The sequence below is a fragment of the Homo sapiens genome, chromosome 2, assembly GCF_000001405.40.
Source record: "Homo sapiens chromosome 2, GRCh38.p14 Primary Assembly".
In the NCBI taxonomy this organism is placed as follows: domain Eukaryota; kingdom Metazoa; phylum Chordata; class Mammalia; order Primates; family Hominidae; genus Homo; species Homo sapiens.
Window position 1 is genome coordinate 62,125,801 of NC_000002.12, and position 23,025 is coordinate 62,148,825.

Genomic DNA, 23,025 nt, shown 5'->3' on the forward strand with positions numbered 1-23,025 from the left:
CAGTATGTGCAGGTTTGTTACATAGGTAAATGTGTGCCATGGTGGTTTGCTACCTATCAAACCATCACCTACATATTAAGCCCAGCATGCATTAGCTATTTTTCCTAATGCTCTCCTTCCCCCCACTTCACCCCCGACAGGCCCCAGTGAATGTTGTTCCCTCCCTGTGTCCATGTGTTCTCATTGTTCAGCTCCCACTTATAAGTGAGAACATGTGGTGTTTGGTTTTCTGTTCCTGCATTAGTTTGCTGAAGATAATGGCTTTGAGCTCCATCTGTGTACCCTGCAAAGGACATGATCTTATTCCTTTTTATGACTGCATAGTATTCCATGGTGTGTATGTACCACATTTTCTTTATCCAGCCTATCATTGATGGGCATTTGGGTTGATTCCATGTCTTTGCTGTTGTGAATAGTGCTGCAGTGAACATATATGTGCATGTATCTTTTTAATAGAATGATTTATATTCCTTTGGGTATATACCCAGTAAGGGGATTGCTGGGTCAAATGGTATTTCTGGTTCTAGATCTTTGATGAATCGCCACACCGTCTTCCACAATGGTTGGACTAATTTTACATTCCCACCAACAGTGTAAAAGCATTCCTATTTCTCCACAACCTTACTAGCATCTGTTGTTTCTTGACTTCTTAATAATTGCCATTCTGACTGGCATGAGATGTTATCTCATTGTGGTTTTGATTTGCATTTCTCTAATGATCAGTGACATTGGGCTTTTTCACATTTGTTGGCTGCATGAATGTCTTCTTTTGAGAAGTGTCTGTTCATGTCCTTTGCCCACTTTTTAATGGGTTTTTTATTGTAAATTTAAGTTCCTTGTAGATTCTAGATATTAGACCTTTGTCAGATGGATAGATGGCAAAAATTTTCTCCAACTCTGTAGGTTGCCTGTTTGCTGTGATGATAGTTTCTTTTATGAGAGCCATTCATGACAAACCCACAGCCAATATCATACTGAATGGGCAAAAGCTGGAAGCATTCCCCTTGAAAACCGGCATAAGACAGGGATGACCTCTCCCACCATTCCTATTCAACATAGTATTGAAAGTTCTGGCCAGGGCAAGCAGGCAAGAGAAAGAAATAAAGGTATTCAAATAGGAAGAGAGGAAGTCAAATTGTCTTTGTTTGCAGATGACATGATCCTATATCTAGAAAACCCTATCATCTCAGCCCAAAAGCTTCTTAAGCTGAAGCAACTTCAGCAAAGTCTCAGGATACAAAATCAGTGTGCAAAAGTCACAAGCATTCCTGTACACCAACAACAGGCAAGCAGAAAGCCAAGTCATGAATGAACTCCCATTCACAATTGCTACAAAGAGAATAAAATACCTAAGAGTACAGCTAACAAGGGAAATGAAGGACCTCTTCAAAGAGAACTACAGACCACTGCTCAAGGAAATCAGAGAGGACACAAACAAATGGAAAAACATTCCATGCTCATGGATAGGAAGAATCAATATTGCGAAAATGGCCATACTGCCCAAAGTAATTTATAGATTCAGTGCTATTGCTGTTAAACTACTATTGACATTCTTCATGGAATTAGAAGAAAGTATTTTAAAATTCATATGGAACCAAAAAAGAGTTTGCATAACCAAGACAATCCTAAGCAAAAAGAACAAAGCCGAAGATATCATGCTACCAGACTTCAAACTATACTACAAGGCCACAATAACCAAAACAGCATGGTACTGACACAAGAACAGACTCATAGATGAATGGAACAGAATAGAGAACCCAGAAATAAGACTGCACATCTACAACCATCTGATCCTCAACAAACCTGACAAAAAAAGCAATGGGGAAAGGATTCCCTATTTAATAAATGGTGCTGGGAGAACTGGCTAGCCATATGCAGAAAATTGAAACTGAACCCATTCCTCACGCCTTATATAAAAATTAACTCAAGATGAGGCCAGGGGGCCGGGCGTAGTGGCTCATGTCTGTAATCCCAACACTTTGGGAGGCTGAGGCAGACAGATCATTTGAGGTCAAGAGTTTGAGACCAGCCTGACCAACATGGTGAAACCCCATCACTACTAAAAATACAAAAAAATTAGGCATGGTGGCACATGCCTGTAGTCCCAGCTACTCAGGAGGCTGAGGCAGGAGAATTGCTTGAACCCAGGAGACAGAGGTTGCAGTGAGCCAAGATTGTGCCACTGCACTTCAGCCTGGGAGACAGAGCGAGACTCTATCTCAAAAAAAAAAAAAAAAAAGGATGAGGTTGGGCATGGTGGCTCATGCCTGTAATCCCAGCACTTTGGGAGGCTGAGGCAGGTGGATCATTTGAGATCAGAAATTCAAGACTAGCCTGGCCAAAATGGTGAAACCCTATCTCTACTAGAAATGCAAAAATTAGCCAGGCATGTTGGCATGCGCCTGTAGTCCCAGCTACTTGGGAGGCTAAGGCATGAGAATTGCTTGAACACAGCAGGCAGAGGTTGCTGTGAGCTGAGATGGCACTTCTTCACTCCAGCCTGGGCGACAGTGTGAGACTCTGTCTAAAAAAAAGAAAAAAAAAAAACAAAAAAACTCAAGATGAATTAAAGACTTAAATGTAAAACCCAAAACTGTAAAAACCCTAGAAGAAAATCTAGGCAGTACCATTCAGGGCATGGTCATGGGCAAAGATTTCATGACGAAATCACCAAAAGCAATTGAAACGAAAGCAAAAATTGACAAACGGGATCTAATTAAAGAGCAAATTCTTAATGAAATCTCATCTTAGTTGTTGATGTTGTTGTTCTTCCTCCTCCTTCTCCTACTCTTCTGCCTACCTCCCTCCCTCCCTCCTTCCCTTCCTTGCATTCTTAAGATATCAAAGTGCTACCATATAAGATATTTCAAGACCAGGCACGGTGGCTCACGCCCGTAATCCCAGCACTTTGGGAGGCCGAGGCAGGTGGATCACGAAGTCAGGAGATTGAGACCATCCTGGCTAACATAGTGAAACCCCATCTTTACTAAAAATACAAAAAATTAGCTGGGCATGGTGGCACACGCCTGTAGTCCCAGCTACTTGGGAGGCTGAGGCAGGTGAATTGCTTGAACCTGGGAGGCAGAGGATGCAGTGAGCCGAGATCACGCCACTGCACTCCAGCCTGGGCAACAGAGCGAAACTCCATCTAAAAAAAAAAAAAAAAAAATCAGTATCAAATGGTAATAGAAAATATCAAATATTGGTTCTAGCTTATCCTATTATTTAATACTTGGAGGGCAACCTTCTTACCAACCTAGGCATGATGACAGGCCTTGCTCTGCTCAACCTTGGAGTTTGTATTTGGTGATTCTATGCTTCGGCAGTCTGAAGAGACTTAGCTTTATGTGTGTACTGTTGGCTTTGTGAACCAGAAGAAATAGTGATTGAGACCAGTAAATAAAATAGGAAATGAAGAAACGATACCCTACATAGAAAATATTGGAAATATCAGAAGAATTAATATAATAACCTCTCTCTCCTCTTGCCTGAACCCAACTGTAAGGAGTGACACAATTTTTTGAGAACAGCCCCACAGGACATGGAATAAGACAGAGAAGGGAAGATAATGAATAGGAAAGGACAAATGGAAAATAATCAGCACAGTTTTCAGGAAAATATAAAATTTTAATTGGGGCCAGTGGTTCCTTAGGAAGGAAGTTGGGTGATCTTTTGCTACAGAGAAGCTATTTCTGGGATTCCAGGTCTCTTGAAGTAAAGGAGCAGTATCAATGATAATTGTAAGAAAGCCACAGAAAGTGTGGGAATGAGTGGTGAACACAGGTTTACTTATGAAGATGTTTTGAACTTCTCTGGCAGGCAATGTTCAGTGCTACTGGGTTTCTTATTTATTATTTAATTGCCCTTCAAGGAGCCATTGCCAATTTTAATGTCTGCCATATGTGTTCATTCTTGAGTGCTTGCTCTCCCTCTTCCTCTTTCTCTCTTTCTCTCCCCTCCTTCCGCTGTGGTTAAACACAGAAGACAGTTGCAGAGTTGTGGGTCAAAGGGTTATTTTAAGCATATGAAAGGACAGCCCAAACAGAGGATAGGCTTTATGGCCAAAGTTTGTGCTCAATAAAGAGTCCCTTTGAGCCGGGCGCCGTGGCTTACGCCTGTAATCCCAGCACTTTGGGAGGCCGAGGCGGGTGGATCACGAGGTCAGGAGATCGAGATCATCCTGGCTAACACGGTGAAACCCCTTCTCTACTAAAAATATAAAAAATTAGCCGGGCGTGGTGGTGGGTGCCTGTAGTCCCAGCTATTCAGGAGGCTGAGGCAGGAGAACGGCGTGAACCCGGGAGGCGGAGCTTGCAATGAGCCGAGATCGCGCCAGTGAGCGAGACTCTGTCTCAAAAAAAAAAAAAAACAAACAAAAAAACAAACAAGAGTCCCTTTGTGTCAACAAATGAAATTAAAAGAAAAATCTGGGGTAATAAGCTTTATGAAACATAGCCAGCTTTATGTGACTTTTTTTTTTTTTTTCTTTTTTGAGATGGAGTCTCAATCTGTCGCCCAGGCTGGAGTGCAGTGGCGCAGTCTTGGCTCACTGCAACCTCCCTCTCCCAGGTTCAAGTGATTCTCCTGCGTCAGCCTCCCAAGTAGCTGCGATTACAGGTGCACACCTATGTGGCCTTTTTGAATCAGTATTGGTTAGTGAAATTCTAAGGCATCCTTTCCCACTCTCACCCTCCATCCCCCAAATTTATCATTTTTAAAAGAAAACACAAGACATTAGAGCCAACATTGCCAATGTTGTATTATAATCCTAAATATGATCCATAAATTAGAGGATAAAGCGTTGTGAAAATTTTGCATGGGAAGTAGTATTACTGTAGAAAATATAGGACTGTTGTTTTATTTTATGTTGAATTTGTTCTAAATGGTTCTATTCAAGTATTTAATATGTGATAAGTCTTTTATTTTCTAGTTTAAGCATTTTGTCACTGTAGTATTGTTTTGCAGAAGAATTGCTCAGAACCTAGTTAAGGAGGTTTTTAAAATGGACAATAATACTCAAAGAGGTTATTTAGTGTGTAGATGGATAAAACCAAACATTTGCTTACTAACAGCCTTCAGTTATTCTGTAAACTAATAATCAATTATGCTCTCTAACCTTGCTAGGAAGTGAGTTAAAGCTAAAGCATTAAAGATTTAGGCTTGACCAGTAAGTTTCCTGAGGAGTGTTGAGTGGTTACCAGGGAAGGAGTTCATTAGGAATATGTGAGATGGCCTTGTCAGGAGGTGTTAGAGCTGGCTCGGTTTTTTTGTTGGTTTGGAGAGGGAATCCTCTCACGGATTTTGTCATAGGATTTTGTGGCTTTTTAACATTTGCACTTGGAGAGACAAAAATTTGAATATTTTGCCTTTGCTTTCCATTGTAATTTGGAATGGCTATTTAAACCGTTGAGTTTAATACACTGCTGTACTCCCCAGGATCACAAAGTACATGTTCTTGACAATGATGTGCTTGCTTATCTGCTAGCCACATTCTGACTCTACTCCATACTGCATCCTTTACTGAAAAGAAGCTAGTTTGATTCTTGACTCAGATACTTAAATACAGGAATTTTAGTCTTGTCATCTCTTATTTTTATCACCAGTTAAGCCCAAGATGACCATGAAAACAGTAACAAGTGTTTCAGATTGCTCTTGTACCTTCTGCCTCTGGCTTGATAAGCATCACATCTGCCTGCCTGCCTTCCTTTCTTTTCTTTTCTTTTTCCTTTTCCTTTCCCTTTCCCTTTCCCTTCTTTTCTTGAGACAGGGTCTTACTCTATTGCCAAGGCTAGAGTCCAGTGGCATGATCTTGGCTCACTGCAACCTTGACCTCCCAGGCTCAAGCAATCCTTCCGCCTCAGCCTCCTAAGTAGCTGGGACTACAGGCACATGCCACCATGCCCAGCTTATTTTTATACTTTTTTTAGAGATGGGGTTTCGCCATGTTGCCCAGGCTGGTCTGAAACTCCTGGGCTCAAGCAATTCACCTGCCTCAGCCTCCCAAAGTGCTGGGATTACAGGCATGAGCCACCACCCCTAGCCCACATCTGCATTTCTAAATACACACACACACACACAAACACACACACACACACATTTTTTTTTTTTTAGACAGTCTCGCTCTGTTGCCCAGGCTGGAGTGCAATAGCGTGATCTTGGCTCACTGCAACCTCTGCCTCCTGGGTTCAAGCAATTCTCCTGCCTCAGCCTCCTGAGTAGCTGGGATTACAGGTGCCCACCACCAAGCCTGGCTAATTTTTGTATTTTTAATAAAGATGGGGTTTCACCATGTTGGTCAGGCTAGTCTCGAACTCCTGACCTCCTGATCTGCCCGCCTTGGCTTCCCAAAGTGCTGGGATTACAGGCATGAGCCACCACACCCGGCCTGGACTTCTTTATTTAGCCTACTCTTTCTCTAGTATTTGGCATCCCTCAAAAATAAACTGAGCTTCATTCATACATAGAGATCCAATCACAAATGAGTCCTGAAACCTACAACAAACTAATGATCCCTTAGAAAAGATCCTGGCTATTTTTAAACATGCCTTACTCAGTTGCTCCTATCTCTATGAATATTGTTCCTGGTAATTTCTTTGCCTACATAGAAAACCAGGTTATTTATTACTGTAACTTACTTTCACTGAGGTGAAATATAGGCTACATCATCTTTTTTATCAATGTCCTTAATATATATGTTAGTTACTGGTAATCACTAATTTCTAGACCATTGTGTCCAAGGCCAGATGTTTTAAAAATTGTTTTAGGTCAGACACAGTGGCTCACGCCTGTAATCCCAGCTCTTTGAAGGCCAAGGCAGGCAGATCACTTGAGGTCAGGAGTTCGAGACCAGCCTGGCCAACATGACGACACCCTGTCTCTATTGAAAAAAAATACAAAAATTAGCCAGGCGTGGTAGTGCACACCTGTAATCCCAGCCACTCAGGAGGCTGAGGCAGGAGGATTGCCTGAACCTGGGAGGCAAAGGTTGCAGATTGGGCCACTGTACTCCAACCTGGGCGACAGAGCGAGACTCTTGTCTCAAAAAAAAAAAAAATTGTTTTAAAGTCAAACTAAAGCCCTCAATAAAACTGAATGAAGAACAGGCTTTCACATCTGAGACCTCTTCTGAATTTTGCCAACTGAACTGCCTAATTTGTCATAAATCTGCTTTTCTTTCCAAAAGGAGATAACCCCTCCTAGAGCTTGAACACTTAATTAGTATTCTTTCTTTGTTTAAACTTGGTTTTTGCTTTGGACTAAATGAAAACTTGGCAAAGTTTCTAAGCTCACATATGAGACTGCACTTCTCTCCTATCCAAATACATGTTTGAGGACAGGACTCCTGTAGGCAAGGAAAGCTGCCTTCCCTGTCTGTGGAAGCCTTTCATCCAAGAGGCCCCTTCTTTCCCTTTGTACTTATTTCTCCTTGGGAGATGTTCACTGTCATCAGTGTAGACTCAGCTTAGCAGCTTAGCAACAGCAAAACCAACTCCTGAATGTTCTTTTGGCTGATGGCAAAGTGACACCCTCCTTCTGAAGAAGCTTGTTGGCCTGCCTTTAACTACCACTTTGGAGATGGGGGTAGGAAATGCCATAGTATCGTAGGGGACGAAAAAGTTTTTCTCTGCCTTCTTAGGTTCATGTATAAGGCCTGCAAATTAAACTGACAAAAGATTCACAGGAGAAAAAAAATTATAAATTTTGCTGATGGTAAGTATTTTTAATTTTATATGCACACAAGCTTAACAGAAAAAAAAAAAAAAGAAAATCCAAAGAGGCAGTTAGACTTGAAAGCTTGCATACCATTTTAACAAAGGATGATAAATTGTGGAGAGAAGTGACTAGACATAGGAAGAAGGGTTTGGTCTTCTAAAGGTGGTAAATTATGGGAATTAAGTATATGGTGAATCTAATAGTAGATAAGAGTTATTTTACTAAGGTTTGGGCAGACTCATCATGGTGTCAGCTTTCCATCTTTTTCATGCCCATAAAACTTCCCCAGAGAGGGATTTATGGCAGTTCTCACCCTCTCTTTTTTTTTGAGACAAGGTCTCACCAAGGTTGCTAGGCTCACTCCACCTCTTGGGTTCAAGCAATCCTCCCACCTCAGCCTTCCAAGTAGCTAGGACTACAGGTGCGCACCACCATGTCTGGCTTTTTTAAATTTTTTATTTTTTATTTTTAGAGATAGAGTTTCATTATTATTGCCCAGGCTGGTATTGAACTCCTGGCTTCAAGTGATCCTCCTGCGTCAGCCTCCCAAAATGCTGGGGTTACAGGCATGAGCCACCATGCCTGGCCTGGCAGTTCTCATTTTTTAGAAGTTTCTGCTCTTGGCCAGATAAGGGAAACTCCAAGACTTATTTTTCCATCTGTTGAGTCTCAATTGCCTTCAGCACAAAGTAACCTATAGGCCAAAGTGGCAAAGTTGGGGCTGGTATATTCTGATACTTTTCAGTAGTTAGGAAAATACAGAGAAAAGAACATTGACTTAGTGACTGTCATCAACAGAGGGACATTAATTAGCCACATCATTTAACATGCCTGGGGCTTAATTTAATTATCTAGAAAACAAGGCAATTGGATTATATGCTCTGTAAGGATTCATACTGCTCTAAATTACTTGATTATTGTTCTGAAGGATTTTGAATGTAGTTGCTCCTAGATACATAAAATTTATCCTTGTCTCTCAAGATAATGCAGATGTAGAATTTGTCTAGTGTGCATGAAATTCCTGCTGCCATAACTCAGAGATCTTATGACTGGGCAACATACTGATCCTCCCCCTACCCCCATCTCTACAAAAAAAAAAAAAAATTTTTTTTTTTAGTTAACTGGGCATGGTTGCATACCTGTAGTCCTAGCTACTCAGGAGGCTGAGGTGGGAGGATCACTTTAGCCCAGGAGTTTGAGGCTACAGTGAGCTATGATCATGCCACTGCACTCCAGCCTGGAAACAGAGGGGGAAAAAAATCTTATTTTTTGATATCTACCATCTACCTAACCTAGGATTGATTGACCAATCCTAACAGTGATTGAAGGGAACGTATTTAAGGGAGCTGTGAGGAGGGTTGGCTTGCAGCAAGTGGAGGGACCCCAGAAATGTTTGTTGTTATTTCAAGATCTGGTTATCTTTCAGTTATCTGGCTCATGTTTCCCAAGCAACTTGTCACAATTTCTGGCATAACCACTAAATCCAAGTTAGCTCACTTCCCAGACTAACTCAGAGTCCATCAGAGTCAGTCAAAATTCTCCTTTCATTTTTGTAATCCAAGGTGCTGTGGAGACAGTATGGACTTCGGCGTCATCCAGAGCTGAGAGTTCCCACAGTCTGATTCTGCCTTTATATGGTATTTATTTTTGATACAGGTTAACCTCTTTGTGCCTCAGGGTCCTCATTTTTAAAACAGCACTACTCAAGTTCTTACCTTAAAAATTATTAGAGGATCCAATGAGATGACAAAGAGGAAGAGCTTCTCATATGCCTCCTAGTGAGAACATCTGACATTTGTACGCCTCTTATTTATCAATATGAAACACCATCATAAAAGCACTTTTTTTTTTTTTTGAGATGGACTCTCACTCTCTCCCCCAGGCTGGAGTGCAGTGGCCCGATCTCGGCTCACTGCAAGCTCCGACTTTCGGGTTCACGCCATTCTCCTGCCTCAGCCTCCTGAGTAGCTGGGACTCACAGGTGCCCGCAACTGCGCCTGGCTAATTTTTTATATTTTTAGTAGAGACGGGGTTTCACCGTGTTAGCCAGGATGGTCTCGATCTCCTGACCTTGTGATCTGCCCGCCTCGGCCTCCCAAAGTGCTGGGATTACAGGTGTGAGCCACTGCGCCTGGCATAAAAGCACTTTTATTTAGGGCATTATGTGGATATGCTTTGCTGGGTAAAATATCACTTCGATATTAAGGTCTGAGCTGGGCTTGCTGGATTGGGACCCTGGGTATTTTGAGTTTGGTCATGCCAGATGGCCTTGGCTATCTTGTGGTTTCCCTCTAAAATATCCTTTTATGTTTTCCAGGAATCTGAATTTCTGTGTTTGGAATTTGATGAGGTCAAAGTCAACCAAATTCTGAAGACGCTGTCAGAGGTAGAAGAAAGTATCAGCACACTGATCAGCCAGCCTAACTGAAGATGATGTATGAAGGAGTTGGAGTTGTTGAAACCAAGGTGTCCATGATCCCTCCCCACTGACCTTTTCTAAGAAAATTCTTGTGCCCGCATTGGTATTAAATCCTCGCATTCAGTCTTCCTGCCTCTACTTGCTCAGATTTCTTTTTTTCTAGCTTTCATTTAGTCTTACATTTGTTCCAGTGCAGAGGTTCTCACCCTTCAGTGTGCATAAATGTTATAAGGGGTACTTGTAAAAGCATTCACTTTTTTGTTGTTATTATTAAATTCGGAGTGTTGCTCTGTTGCCCAGGCTGGAGTGCAGTGGTGCAGTCATGGCTCACTGCAGCCTCAAGCTCCTGGACTCAAGCGAGCCTCCCACCTCAGCCTCTCAAGTAGCTGGGACTACAGGTGCATGCCACCACACTCAGGTAATTTTTGTATTTTTTGTAGAGATGGGGTTTCACCATGTTGCCCAGGCTGGTCTGGAAATCCTGGGCTCAAGTGATCCTCCCACCCTGGCTTCCCAAAGCCCAAAGTGCTGGGATTACAGGCGTGAGAAAAGCATTTACATTTAAAAAAAAAAAAAAAAAAAAAAAGTAGGCTTCCAGGGCTCTATCCCCAGAGACTTGGATTCAATAGGATTAGGGTGAGAGAGATCAGCAATGGAAATCCTTGATATAGTGGTTTGTCCTGGGTGGGGTTTTAAGAATTTATACATGATAAATCATGTAGGAATTATTTTTAAAGTAGAAAAAAAAGCTTTTATCATGCAAATATAGGGCTGACCAAAGTGCTATGTACTTAGCTGAGGCATAGGAGCACCTACCTAACCTAGAAAAGATGTACCTGACCCTAGTTAAAACCTGAGCTCTTTCTGAAACTGATTTGGGCATTTGGATTAGTTCTGCTTAAATCTGGGGCATCTGGTTTGATCTGAACTACTGAGAGACTCAGGCTTTTCTGGAACCTAGAACTAAATTGGCCTCACAACAAAGGGACTCCCTTCACTTGCCTCAAGTCAGGATCATGGGAAGGGGCAGATGTCTGCTGAGACTGATGTGAGGTCTTTTACCTCAGAAAATTTTACCTGAGTCATTAAAATAAAACCCCTTTCAAAAAATTTCTTTAAGAAAAACTAGTGTAATAAAAAGTAGGTCCTATTAGAGAACTTACCAAACACCAAGAACATTCTAACGGCGGAGGCTGTCAACTAGCATATTGAGGCTATGGTCCTTGTTGAACAGGTTTTGTCATCTGATACTGATAATATTTAGAAATCTAAGATGCCTTTGGAGTATAATATGTTCAAAAAATGTGGTTATCTTGGTCTGTGATTACAGCATATGTCCATGCTAAGGAGTTTGTTTCAGGACAGGAATAAGTCCTCTTCTGTTAAGCAGTTTCTCCTAAATCAGTTTGGAGACATTTCAGGAGCTTTTCTAACACCCAAGCTGAAATTATTGGCTTCTTCTCTGATTAAAACCATCCCAGCAGTTAGCAAACAATAACCAGAAGGTTTTCAATGTAGCCCCTGTGCACCCTTCAGAAAACATCTTGAAACAGTACTGTAAATAGATTCAAGAAAGGAATGTGGTTTGGAAAAAAAAAAAACTATTTTAAACTTGCCTTCTGTTCCCAGGGCTGCTGTCATGTAATCTAGGAGAATTTTGATAAGGTCTCCTGCTGTAAAATGGAGCAATAGAATATCTCATCAGATAATCGGATTCCAGATGTCCTTGGAAGGAATAACTAGAGCTATCACCTTAGTATTGACTCATATATCCCATGGAAGTCTGTGGAAGTGTGAAGGAACAGCACATGGGCCACAAGGAGAGGAAATCATTGTCATAGTCTGAAACTCTGTTTAGGTCATCCCATGAAAGTAATAGCTACAAGAGTGGCCATGGGCTTTTAAAATTGTATTCCCAAACCCTAGGTCATTGGAAGAACTACAGTTAATGTATACTGAGTTTTCAAGAATTAAAAAGAAAACCAAAAACTGGTTGTTGCAGGTGGTCCCCACATTTAACACTAAGCACTTCTGAATGCAAGTTGTTTCTAACAGGGTATATTTTATATTTACTGATGATTTTTAATTTTTTATTATCAAAGGTATATATGTTTATTATAGTCTATTATGAAAATACAGAAACATACTAAGAACAGTTAATGACCCATCAATCTAATGTACAGAAAGAAGGCTAGAACTAGGAAAAGAGTTGACTTTCCTTGAATAAATTCCCAGAAGTGGAGTACACAGTTTTATTTATTTATTTAGAGACAGAGTTTCACTCTGTCACCCATGCTGGAATGCAGTGGCGCAATCTCAGCTCACTGCAACCTCCGCCTCCCGGGTTCAAGTGATTCTCCTGTCTCAGCCTCCTGAGTAGCTGGGACTACAGGCACCTGCCACCACGTCCGGCTAATTTTTTTTTGTATTTTTAGTAGAGACAGGGTTTCACTATGTTGGCCAGGCTGGTCTCGAACTCCTGACCTCCAGTGATTGACCCGCCTCAGCCTCCCAAAGTGCTGGGATTACAGGCGTGAGCCACTGCACCCGGCCTAGTACACAGTTTTTAACTTTGATAAACATTGCCAAATTCCTCTCCAGGAAGGCTGTATTAATTTGTATTCCCTCTGAGAAAGTATAAGACTAAATTACCCCCTCTCTTGCCTAATTGGCTATCATCATTTTTTGTATTTTCTGGGAGTAAGTTCTTAGAAAGTTTTGTAAGGGACACTTACATTAAACCAGGACATCTCCCTGGTAACAATAAAAGCATGGAGAAAGGACCAGGGAAGGAGAAAACAGGTATAAAGTTCCCAGAGACCCCACTAGGTTTTCTACCTGTGCGATCCTAGATTAAAACCACTTGTTTTGATTTCAGGAAATTAGGGACAAAATAAAAATCTCAGCCTGAACTGGACCTTGTAGAAATTATCCCTGCTTGAGCAATAAGCACTCTAAATTCAGTCTGTTTAGAAAGATTCCTGCCCGTTAGCCAGGTGTGGTAGCACAGGCCTCAAGTCCAAGCTGCTCAGGAGGCTGAGGAAGGAGGATGCCTTGAGCCCAGGAGTTTGGGGCTTCAGGCAACAACAGCAAGAGCCCATCTCTAAAAAAGAAAGAAAAGGAGAGAGAGAGAGAGAGAGAGAGAGATGAGAGAGAGAGAAAGATGAGAGAAGAAAAGAAAAAAACAGTCCAGCCAAGCTAAAAGTTAGCTTTCAGAATAAAGTCAGAAAATAACTCCAGATTTTGGTAGCGTTGTGTTGATACGAAGCAAAAGATTTGGCCTTATTCTTAGGTCAGGCTTTCCTTGGAAGCTCTAGTTCTTCTCAGCTGTAACAGCAAAAGCCTAAATTCCATTATAGACTCTTTATTTCCTTTATATAACCTCTCTTCCCCCAGTCTTATTTTAATAATGATTCAAAAAGAGTTCCAGCATTAAAAAAAAGTAGTTTAACTCTTCACCCCCAAATGCAAGAAGGTGGTGAAAAGCAGAGGATGATGTTGAGTATCTTAAATAGCTGACATCATGTCAAACTATTAATTGTTGAAGTTATTTTTTTACACCTGAGTGAACATTTAGAAAATAATATAAATAGAAATTAAAGGGAAATAAATGCTAAACCGATGTTAGAAAATACTGTTTTCTGAAGTGTACAGTAAGTATCTTTTTGTATGTTTTTTTTTCTTTTTAATTTATTTATTGAAATGGAGTCTCACTCTGTCACCCAGGCTGGAGTGCAGTGGCGCGATCTTGGCTCACTGCAACCTCCGCCCTTTGAGTTCAAGCGATTCTCCTGCCTCAGCCTCCTGAGTACCTGGGATCACAGGCACCTGCCACCGCACCCAGCTAATTTTTTTTTTACTTTTAGTAGAGACGGAGTTTCACCATCTTGGCCAGGCTAGTCTTGAACTCCTGACCTCATGATCCATCCGCCTCGGCCTCCCAAAGTGCTGGGATTACAGGTGTGAGCCACCATGCCCAGCCTTTTATTTATTTATTTATTTTTGAGAAGGAGTCTCACTCTGTCGCCCAGGGTGGAGTGCAGTGGTGCAATCTCTGCTCACTGCAACCTCTGCCTCCCAGGTTCAAGCGATTCTCCTGTGTCAGCCTCCCGAGTAGCTGGGATTACAGGCATGCGCCACCGCACCCAGCTAATTTTTATATTTTTAGTAGAGACGTGGTTTCACCATGTTGGCCAGGCTGGTCTCAAACTCCTGACCTTCGGTGATCCACCCACCTCGGCCTCCCAAAGTGCTGGGATGACAGGCATGAGCCGCTGCACCCAGCCTCAAAGTGTATAGTAAATATCTAAACAAATGAAAGGGACAAGATATAGAAGGAATCTTAGGATCAGCTGAGAGATAATTGAATACTTTCCTAAAAGAACACAATACTGGAAGGGATGGGGCTTTGTGGGACAATTGCTATTTTGAATTCTTAGGTGTCCAACTTTACAACCAAGGTTTACAAATATTTTAAATGGTGATTTAGTCAGCAGAAGGGAAGACTCAAATAGAACATAATTAGCTTAAGCTTACCTCTAGTTGTAGAGTATACAGGTTTTGACCTCAAAATTTGAAAAATCGCAATTTTTATCTAAGTGCAATCAAGTTTTCCTTATTTGGGGATGGCCATAATTGTCTCTCATGGCAACTCAACTGTATGCAACATTGAACCATCCTTTGTTGCAAAGGAACCTGCCTGGGCCTGCTTCCTGTTAGATAAATGGTCCCAACTGGCATAACTTACAAGTTTGGTACATAAACTATCTGATTACAATACTAACGCTATACGTGAGCAGGTAGTAAAATATGGGCATTTACATCATTTATTCACCAAGAACTGTAATTAGGCATTTTCTTTCTCTTTTATTATATTTTAAAATTTAATATAGAGACAGGGTCTCACGCTGTCCCCCAAGCTAGAGTGCAATGGTGCAACCATTATTCACTGCAGCCTGAACTCCTGGGCTCAAGTGATCTTCCCACCTCAGCACCACCACGCCTGTCTTGTTTCTGTTTTACATGCTCTTGGCTAGTTTCTGTTTCCCACTGGTGTTAGGGTTTTAACTTCTGTTGATTCACAGGATGCAGGTGGGGGAGAGATGGCAAGGGGGAAAATATGAATTTGATTACTCAAGTGGAACAAGGTGAAACCATTAGTTTAAAATAATTTTAGGCTGAAAAATTAAAATCATTAAATTATTTCCTTCATGCTGTTATTACACTGTTTTTGTATTAAAGAAGTAAGCATAAATATGAGGATTGTATATTATTTCTATTCTGGCTATTTTTAGAATCATGGCTAAGAATTGGCATGGATCTCAGAATGACTGATTTGGAGGCTTTAGCATCTGGTCAAAAATGAGGAAACATCTGGACAGACAGGGCAGAAGATTTGTACAAGGCCGTGGTCAGGAAGGAATTTCAGGTCTACTGTCTTCCATCTCTACATTCTACCTTTTAGACCCTTCAAAAGAATAAGTGCTTATTTCAAAAATCTGTGTCCTTGCTCATGTGTTTAAATAATGACAGTTCCTGTAGTGAGGATTTTTGTATGCAGATGTGACCTAAGACTAGGTCCAACGTCACTTACATCCTGCATCCATGTTAGACCTGTCTCTGTGCTTCAGGTTGCTGTCACTCTTTGTAGAGCCTGATGCTGTTTGTGATGACCTTGGCCTCACTTTCCACTCAGTGCCACCCTTCTCTGGGTGCAGTGTGCAAAATGAGTAAGTTGGCTGCCACATGGGGCTTCCAGGCTGTCCACAGTACCCAGATAGCCAGCACATTATTCTCATCCTAGCTGGACAACCATTGACCCAAGCTTGGGTCTCGGGTTCTTGGTGACAAGTTGTTATAAATGGAGAACCGATACCGGGGCACGGTGGCTCACGCCTATAATCCAAGCACTTTGGGAGGCTGAGGCGGGCGGATTGCTTGAACTCAGGAGTTCAAGGCCAGCCTGGGCAACATAGGGAGACCCTGTCTCTACTACTAATAAAAAAATTAGCCAGGCATGGTGGTGCATGCCTGTGATCCCAACTACTCAGGAGGCTGAACTTGGAGGTCGAGTCTGCAGTGAGGCTGTGTTTGTGCCACTGCACTCCATCCTAGGTGACAGAGCAAGACCCCCTCTCAGAAATTAAATAAATAAATAAAAATTTTTGAAATGGAGAACTGAGAAAAGGAACACTAATGCAGTTGTGTTCCCATGGAAGATAGTCAAACAAAGCTAAACATAGCTGGAGTAAGAGAACCAGTGGCTGCTAACAGACGTGGAACTGTGCAACTGAACTAACCCCAAGGCTTACTCCCTCCCTGGGGAGTTGAGGCCAGAAACATTTTCTGTAGCATCTGTGGCAGAGCTGTGGGGCCTTTCTGGCTCAACTGGGAAGGAAGGTGACGGCTGTTGTTCTTCAAGGAATCGCTTTCCTGCCTCCTGAAGGGAATCACCAGGGCCTAGATTCTGGAAAGGGAAGGGAAAGTGGAGAACACAAAAAGGAAACGTTTTCTTGTTCTCCCATGAGATTCATGTGCATGTCCCCAAGCAGATTGCCAGAGGAAATGAAGGTTCTTTAAAAATAATAAATAAATAAATTCTGGCCCAGCACAGTGGCTCACACTTGTAACCCAGCACTTTGGGAGGCTGAAGCAGGAGGACCACTTGAGCCCCGGAGTTAGAAACCAGCCTGGGCAACATAGCAAGACCCTGTCTCTACAAAAATGTTGAACAATTAGCTGGGTGTGGTGCACACAGCTGTAGTTCCAGCTACTCAGGAGGCTGAGATGGGAGGATTACTTGAGCCCAGGAGTTCAAGACCATCCTGGGCATGATGGTGAGACCTCATCTCAATTTAAAGAAAAAAAAAATCCCTCCCATGCCTGTAATTCCAGCACTTTGGGAGGCTGAAGTGGGTGAATTGTTTGAGCTCAGGAGTTCAAGACCAGTCTGGACAACATGGCAAAATCCTGTCTCTACAAAAAATTAGCGAGGCGTGATGGTGCACGCCTGTAGTCCCAGCTACTTGGGGAGCTGAGGTGGGAAGATCAATCGAGCCCAGGAGGTCAAGGCTGCAGTGAGCCGAGATCATGCCACTGCACTCCAGCCTGGGTGACCTTGTCTCAAAAAAAAAAACCCACCAAAATCCCTCCCTTAAAACAGAGTTCAGTGACGGTTGTCACTCTGTGCAAAAATGAACTTGCCCAGTGGGTTTATATTTACTATCAACCAATATCAGCCTATGAATAGCAGAAAAAGGCAAGTAAGGCCATGTAACATTTCATTTTTTCCTGGAGCCCCAGGCTGACCCTGGTTTGGCTGGCCAGGGTGGGACTAAAGGTGAGGCTCCAAATCATCTGGGTACAGGCGGACCACATAGACCAAGAAAGTGCCTTTCAAACTGCCACATTTGTAATCCTAGCTACTCAGGAGGCTGAGGCAGGAGGATCCTTGAGCCCAGGAGTTCAAGACCATCCTGGGCAACATATTGAGACCCCATCTTGAATGAATGAATGGTGCCTTTCCCCAGACTTCCTTTGAATTGAAAGAAAACAAGTCACTTCATAAGTTACTTTATGAACCATTAAAACTGGATACAGCCATTTGCTGGGTGGCGTACCACCGCTTCAAATATCACTTATAGGGAATTTAGGGAAAAATCTTTTCCCCTAATATCAGGAAGTTTAAAAATAAGTAACCAGATAATCTGGGGCCAGGAGCATGTAGTGGGAGAGTTATCAGGCCCACCCAGTTCCCTGAGACAGGTGGAAAAAACTGACCCTTCTCTTCATCAGTTCTTATAGATGTAATTTCAACAAATGGGAAAGGATAATGCAAAACCCTTCCTTGTCCCTGTACACATGGGGAAGAGTTGAACAAAATGCTAGGGGAATTTGGCTCTGAAGGTCCCTGAATAGCTTGAGAGCTCTCACTGGGGACCCATCCCTGGGAGAATCAACTTGCATCACCTTTGGGCAACCACCCCTGGAACCATAACAGAAGGGGCAAGACCAAGCAAGTCCCTATTGCCTTGAGTGAGTCCTGGAAGAAAGTGGTTACTGGGGTAACCACAGCCTGTGCCATTCTTTACAGCCCAAATGCCATCCCTAGTTTTGCACCTAGAAGTTTAGCCATTAATTGTGTTCATAGATTTAGGGGTCCATGTGCATGTTTGATACTTTAGGTATATTGTGTGATGCTGACATTTGGCATATGAATGATTCTGTCACCCGGGTAGTGAACATAGTACCCAGTAGTTAGTCTTTCAACCCCAGTAGTCCCTAGTAGCTATTATTGCCGTCTTTATGTCTATAAGAATCCACAGTTTAGCTCCCACTTGTAACATGTGGTATTTGGTTTTCTGTTCTTGCATTAATTTGCTTAGGATAATGGCCTCCAGCTGCATCCATGTCGCTGCAAAGGATACGATTTTATTCTCTTTTATGGCTGTGTGATTTTTTCCCCCCCAGCTATTCTGGGAGCTACTCTCTTTAGGGTACCTTCGCATATGTAGTACGTTTTTCTCCTGTTAATCTGTGTATTGTCAGTTGATTCACAGGCCACCGACCAATTGGACCTAAATTGGTAGAGAAGTTTTTTCTCCCAACAGTTTATATAAATTTAGTTTATTAATTTTAACTGCTGCATAGTGTTCCATTTAGAATAGGCTGGAGGTTTTTGTTTTTGAGTTTCCTATTATAAACCAAAAACAAAATTCTAATCTCCCCAACCAACTGAATGTACCCCCTCAGCCAAGGGGATCCCAAAAAAAACCTGAAAAAGTTCAGGCCATGACAGGAAGAGGGGTGGTTAGAAGTTCAGGCCATGACAGGAAGAGAGGGGGAAGGTCTCATTATATACCCTTCTCTTTTTGGAGTTTAGACCCAACTGACCAGCATTAACATTAAAACAGAGATTTTAAGACCGACAAAACAGACTCTTTGTAGCAATAAGATCAAATTCCAACCTGACTCTGATGTAACATCTCATGACAGACAGCAGGCCCGGAAGGAGATCAGAATATTTTACCCCAAAATATATTTCTTCGACATACTTTGAATGGCCCTGCAAAGCTGTCCCTTGTGGGGGAAATTTGCATTTTTTTAGAGAATCTCCTTCCTCTACTAGGTTTTTCCACAGAGTTTGACACCTTTTAGGTCAGATAAGAGACTGTCACATCTATTATCTCTGAAGCTTGTTCTTTGGAGGTTTCACCTACATGACAAAAACCTTGGCTTCCAAAACATTCCCCCCTTACCATAACTCAAGCTGACTTCAACTCTTCACTCAGAGCTTAACTCTTTGAACCAACTGCCAGTCAGGAAATCTCTCAATCCACCTGTGACCTAGAAACAGCCCCCAACTCCCACTTTGAGATGTCCCCCTATTCCAGGCCAAAACCAATGTATACCTTCCATGTATTGATTTATGTCTTTGCCCATAACTTCTGTCTCCCTAAAACCAAGCCGCAATCCCACCATCTTGGGCACATGTTCTCAGGACCTCCTGAGGCTGCAGCATGGGCCACGGTCCTTAACCTTGGCAAAGTAAACGTCTTAATCAATTGAGACCTGTCTCAGATGCTTTTTGGTTTACACTATCAATGAGTGGGTTTTTAGGTTGTCTTCAATTTTCCATTGCAAATAATGCTGCTGTGAACATCCTTGAACATGCATCCCTGTTTACATGTACAAATATATCTTAGAAAACAGGAATACTGTATCATGGGTTATGTGCTTTTTCTTTCTTTCTTTCTTTTTTTTATTGTAGACACTGTCAAATAGACTTTAGAGTACTAATAAATGTTTAACAACCAGTCTTCCAAAAAGAGGAAGTGGGGCTGATTTGTAGCATTTGCCAATTTCCATGGTGTGAATTCTTCCACCATGGCCGATTTCAAACTACTAATGAGACATGAATGCACAATCAGCTCTGTTAGCTGGTATGAAGTGGCTCCAGCATAGTTCTCAGAATCTCTCAAACTCAGAATGCATATAAATATTGGCAAATAGCCCTCTAAAGTAGCCCAACCAATGTATACTTTCACAAGCAGTGTATGAGAATATCTACAGTCATGCTCCGCGTAACGATGTTTCAGTCAATGACAGATGACATGTGTGACAATGGTCCCATAAGATTATAATGGAGCTGAAAAATTCCCATCACTAGTGTCATAGCACATTATTTATGTGTTTGTGGTGATGCTGGTATAAATAAACTACTGCACTGCCAGTCATATAAAAATATAACACAATTATGTGCAATACATAATACTTGATAATAAGTGTGTTACTGGTTTATGTACTTACTATACTGTGCTTTTTATCTTTTAAGTATACTCTCTACTTATTAAAAAAAAAAAAAAGTCCTTTCCACGCTACCTGCAGAGGGGTCCATACGGCGTTGTTCTGGATTCCCATCGTAACTTAAAGGGAAACTTTCACAATGTCCGGAGCCCTTGATGTCCTGCAAATGAAGGAGGAGGATGTCCTTAAGTTCCTTGCAGCAGGAACTCACTTAGGTGGCACCAATCTTGACTTCCAGATGGAACAGTACATCTATAAAAGGAAAAGTGATGGCATCTATATCATAAATCTGAAGAGGACCTGGGAGAAGCTTCTGCTGGCAGCTCGTGCTATTGTTGCCATTGAAAACCCTGCTGATGTCAGTGTTATATCCTCCAGGAATACTGGCCAGAGGGCCGTGCTAAAGTTTGCTGCTGCCACTGGAGCCACTCCAATTGCTGGCCGCTTCACTCCTGGAACCTTCGCTAACCAGATCCAGGCAGCCTTCCGGGAGCCACGGCTTCTTGTGGTTACTGACCCCAGGGCTGACCACCAGCCTCTCATGGAGGCATCTTATGTTAACCTACCTACCATTGCGCTGTGTAACACAGATTCTCCTCTGCACTATGTGGACATTGCCATCCCATGCAACAACAAGGGAGCTCACTCAGTGGGTTTGATGTGGTGGATGCTGGCTCGGGAAGTTCTGCGCATGCGTGGCACCATTTCCTGTGAACACCCATGGGAGGTCATGCCTGATCTGTACTTCTACAGAGATCCTGAAGAGATTGAAAGAGAAGAGCAGGCTGCTGCTGAAAAGGCAGTGACCAAGGAGGAATTTCAGGGTGAATGGACTGCTCCAGCTCCTGAGTTCACTGTTACTCAGCCTGAGGTTGCAGACTGGTCTGAAGGTGTACAGGTGCCCTCTGTGCCTATTCCCTACTGAAGACGGGAGCGCTCAGCCTGCCACGGAAGACTGGTCTGCAGCTCCCACTGCTCAGGCCACTGAATGGGTAGGAGCAACCACTGACTGGTCTTAAGCTGTTCTTGCATAGGCTCTTAAGCAACATGGAAAAATGGTTGATGGAAAATAAACATCAGTTTCTAAAAAAAAAAAAAGTTAACTGTAAAACAACCTCAGGCAGGTCCTTCAGGAGGGATTCCAGAAGAAGGCAGTGTTATCATAGGAGATGACAGCTCTATGCGCGTATTGCCCCTGGAGACCGTCCAGTGGGACAAGATGTAGAGGTGGAAGACAGTGATATTGATGATCCCGACCCTGTGTACACCTAGGCTAATGTGTATTTGTGTCCTGGTTTTTGACAAGAAAAAATTAAAAAGTAAATAAATTTTTAAAAATTTTAATAGGAAAAAAGCTTACAGAATGAGACTATAAAGAAAATATTTTTATACAGCTGTACAGTGTGTTTGTGTTTTCAGATAAGTGTTATTAAAAGAGAGCCAAAAAGTTAATTACAGTGAACTAAGGTTAAATTTATTGAAGAAAAATTTTTTAATTTAGTGTAGCATAAGTGTATAGTGTAAAGTCTACAGTAGGGTACAGTAATGTCCTAGGCCTTCACATTCACTGACATCTCACACACTGACTCACCTAGAGAAACTTCCAGTCTTGCAAGCTCCATTCAGATAAATACCCTAGACAGGTATACCATTTTTTATCTTTTACACCGTATTTTTACTGTATCTTTTCTGTGTTTAGACAGACAAATACCATTGTGTTACAGTTGTCTACAGTATTCAGTACAGCAACATGCTGTACAGGTTTGTAGCCCATAAACTCTACCATGTAAGTAGGCTGTACTGTCTAGGTTTGTGTAAGTACTCTGTGATGTTCACACAATGATGAAATTGCCTAATGATGCACTGCTCAGGATGTATCCCCGTCATTAAGCAACGATGACTGTATTTCCCATTATCCTTGTCAGTGCTTGGTAATACCATAATTTTTGCCAGTATGATGAGTCAAAACTCATTTTTGCATTTTTCCCAATCATTGGTGAGATTGAGCGTTTTTGTTTTTCTTTTATGTCTTTGCTACTTTTATTTCCCTTTCCATGAAATGGTCTTTTGCCTTTTGCCTGGTTTTCTTTTCTTTCTTTCTTTTGAGACAGGGTCTCGCTCTATCGCCCAGGCTGGAGGGCAGTGGCATGCGATGACAGCTCACTGCAGCCTCAACCTCAGGTGATTCTCCTATCCCAAGCCTCGCAAGTAGCTGGGGCTACAGGTGTGCGCCACCATGCCCAGCTAATTTTTTGTTACTTTTATAGAGACGGGGTTTCACTCTGTTGCCCAGGCTGGAGTACAGTGGCGCCATCCCGTCTCACTGCAACCTCCACCTCCCAGGTTCAAGCGATTCTTCTGCCTCAGCCTCCCTAGTAGCTGGAATTACAGGCATGTACCACCACACCCGGCTAATTTTTTGTATTTTTAGTAGAGACAGGGTTTCACCATCTTTACTAGGCTAAGCTGGTCTCGAACTCCTGACCTCAGGTGATCTGCCTGCCCTGGCCTCCCAAAGTGCTGGGATTATAGGTGTGAGCTACCACGCCTGGCCCTGTTTTTCTTTTGGTATTTTTCTGTTGATTTGT

The 23,025-nt window shown here is 42.3% G+C and overlaps 1 protein-coding gene and 1 pseudogene across 6 annotated transcripts in view, besides 3 other annotated features; both read left to right on the top strand.

The window, feature by feature from the left end:
* The window catches only part of COMMD1 (copper metabolism domain containing 1), a 247,668-nt gene extending 237,410 nt beyond the window's left edge, over positions 1-10,258 (top strand). For all 6 annotated transcript variants that reach the window (NM_001371765.2, NM_001321781.3, NM_001321782.3 and 3 more), the window contains exon 3: positions 10,031-10,258. In NM_001371765.2, the coding sequence (NP_001358694.1) occupies positions 10,031-10,141 (111 nt within the window). In that variant the 3' untranslated portion in view covers positions 10,142-10,258. The remainder of the gene's footprint in view (positions 1-10,030) is intronic.
* Positions 3,800-4,000: a silencer, noted in NCBI's record as "peak3724 fragment used in MPRA reporter construct". NCBI's record gives its function as "represses an SCP1 promoter by STARR-seq MPRAs in K562 erythroleukemia cells {active_cell/tissue: K562}" and the evidence as "EXISTENCE:reporter gene assay evidence [ECO:0000049][PMID:32103011]".
* Positions 3,851-3,900: an enhancer, noted in NCBI's record as "active region_15847". NCBI's record gives its function as "activates an Ori minimal core promoter by ATAC-STARR-seq in GM12878 lymphoblastoid cells {active_cell/tissue: GM12878}" and the evidence as "EXISTENCE:reporter gene assay evidence [ECO:0000049][PMID:35858748]".
* Positions 16,266-16,355: an enhancer, noted in NCBI's record as "active region_15848". NCBI's record gives its function as "activates an Ori minimal core promoter by ATAC-STARR-seq in GM12878 lymphoblastoid cells {active_cell/tissue: GM12878}" and the evidence as "EXISTENCE:reporter gene assay evidence [ECO:0000049][PMID:35858748]".
* Positions 20,501-21,526, top strand: RPSAP26 (ribosomal protein SA pseudogene 26; annotated as a pseudogene).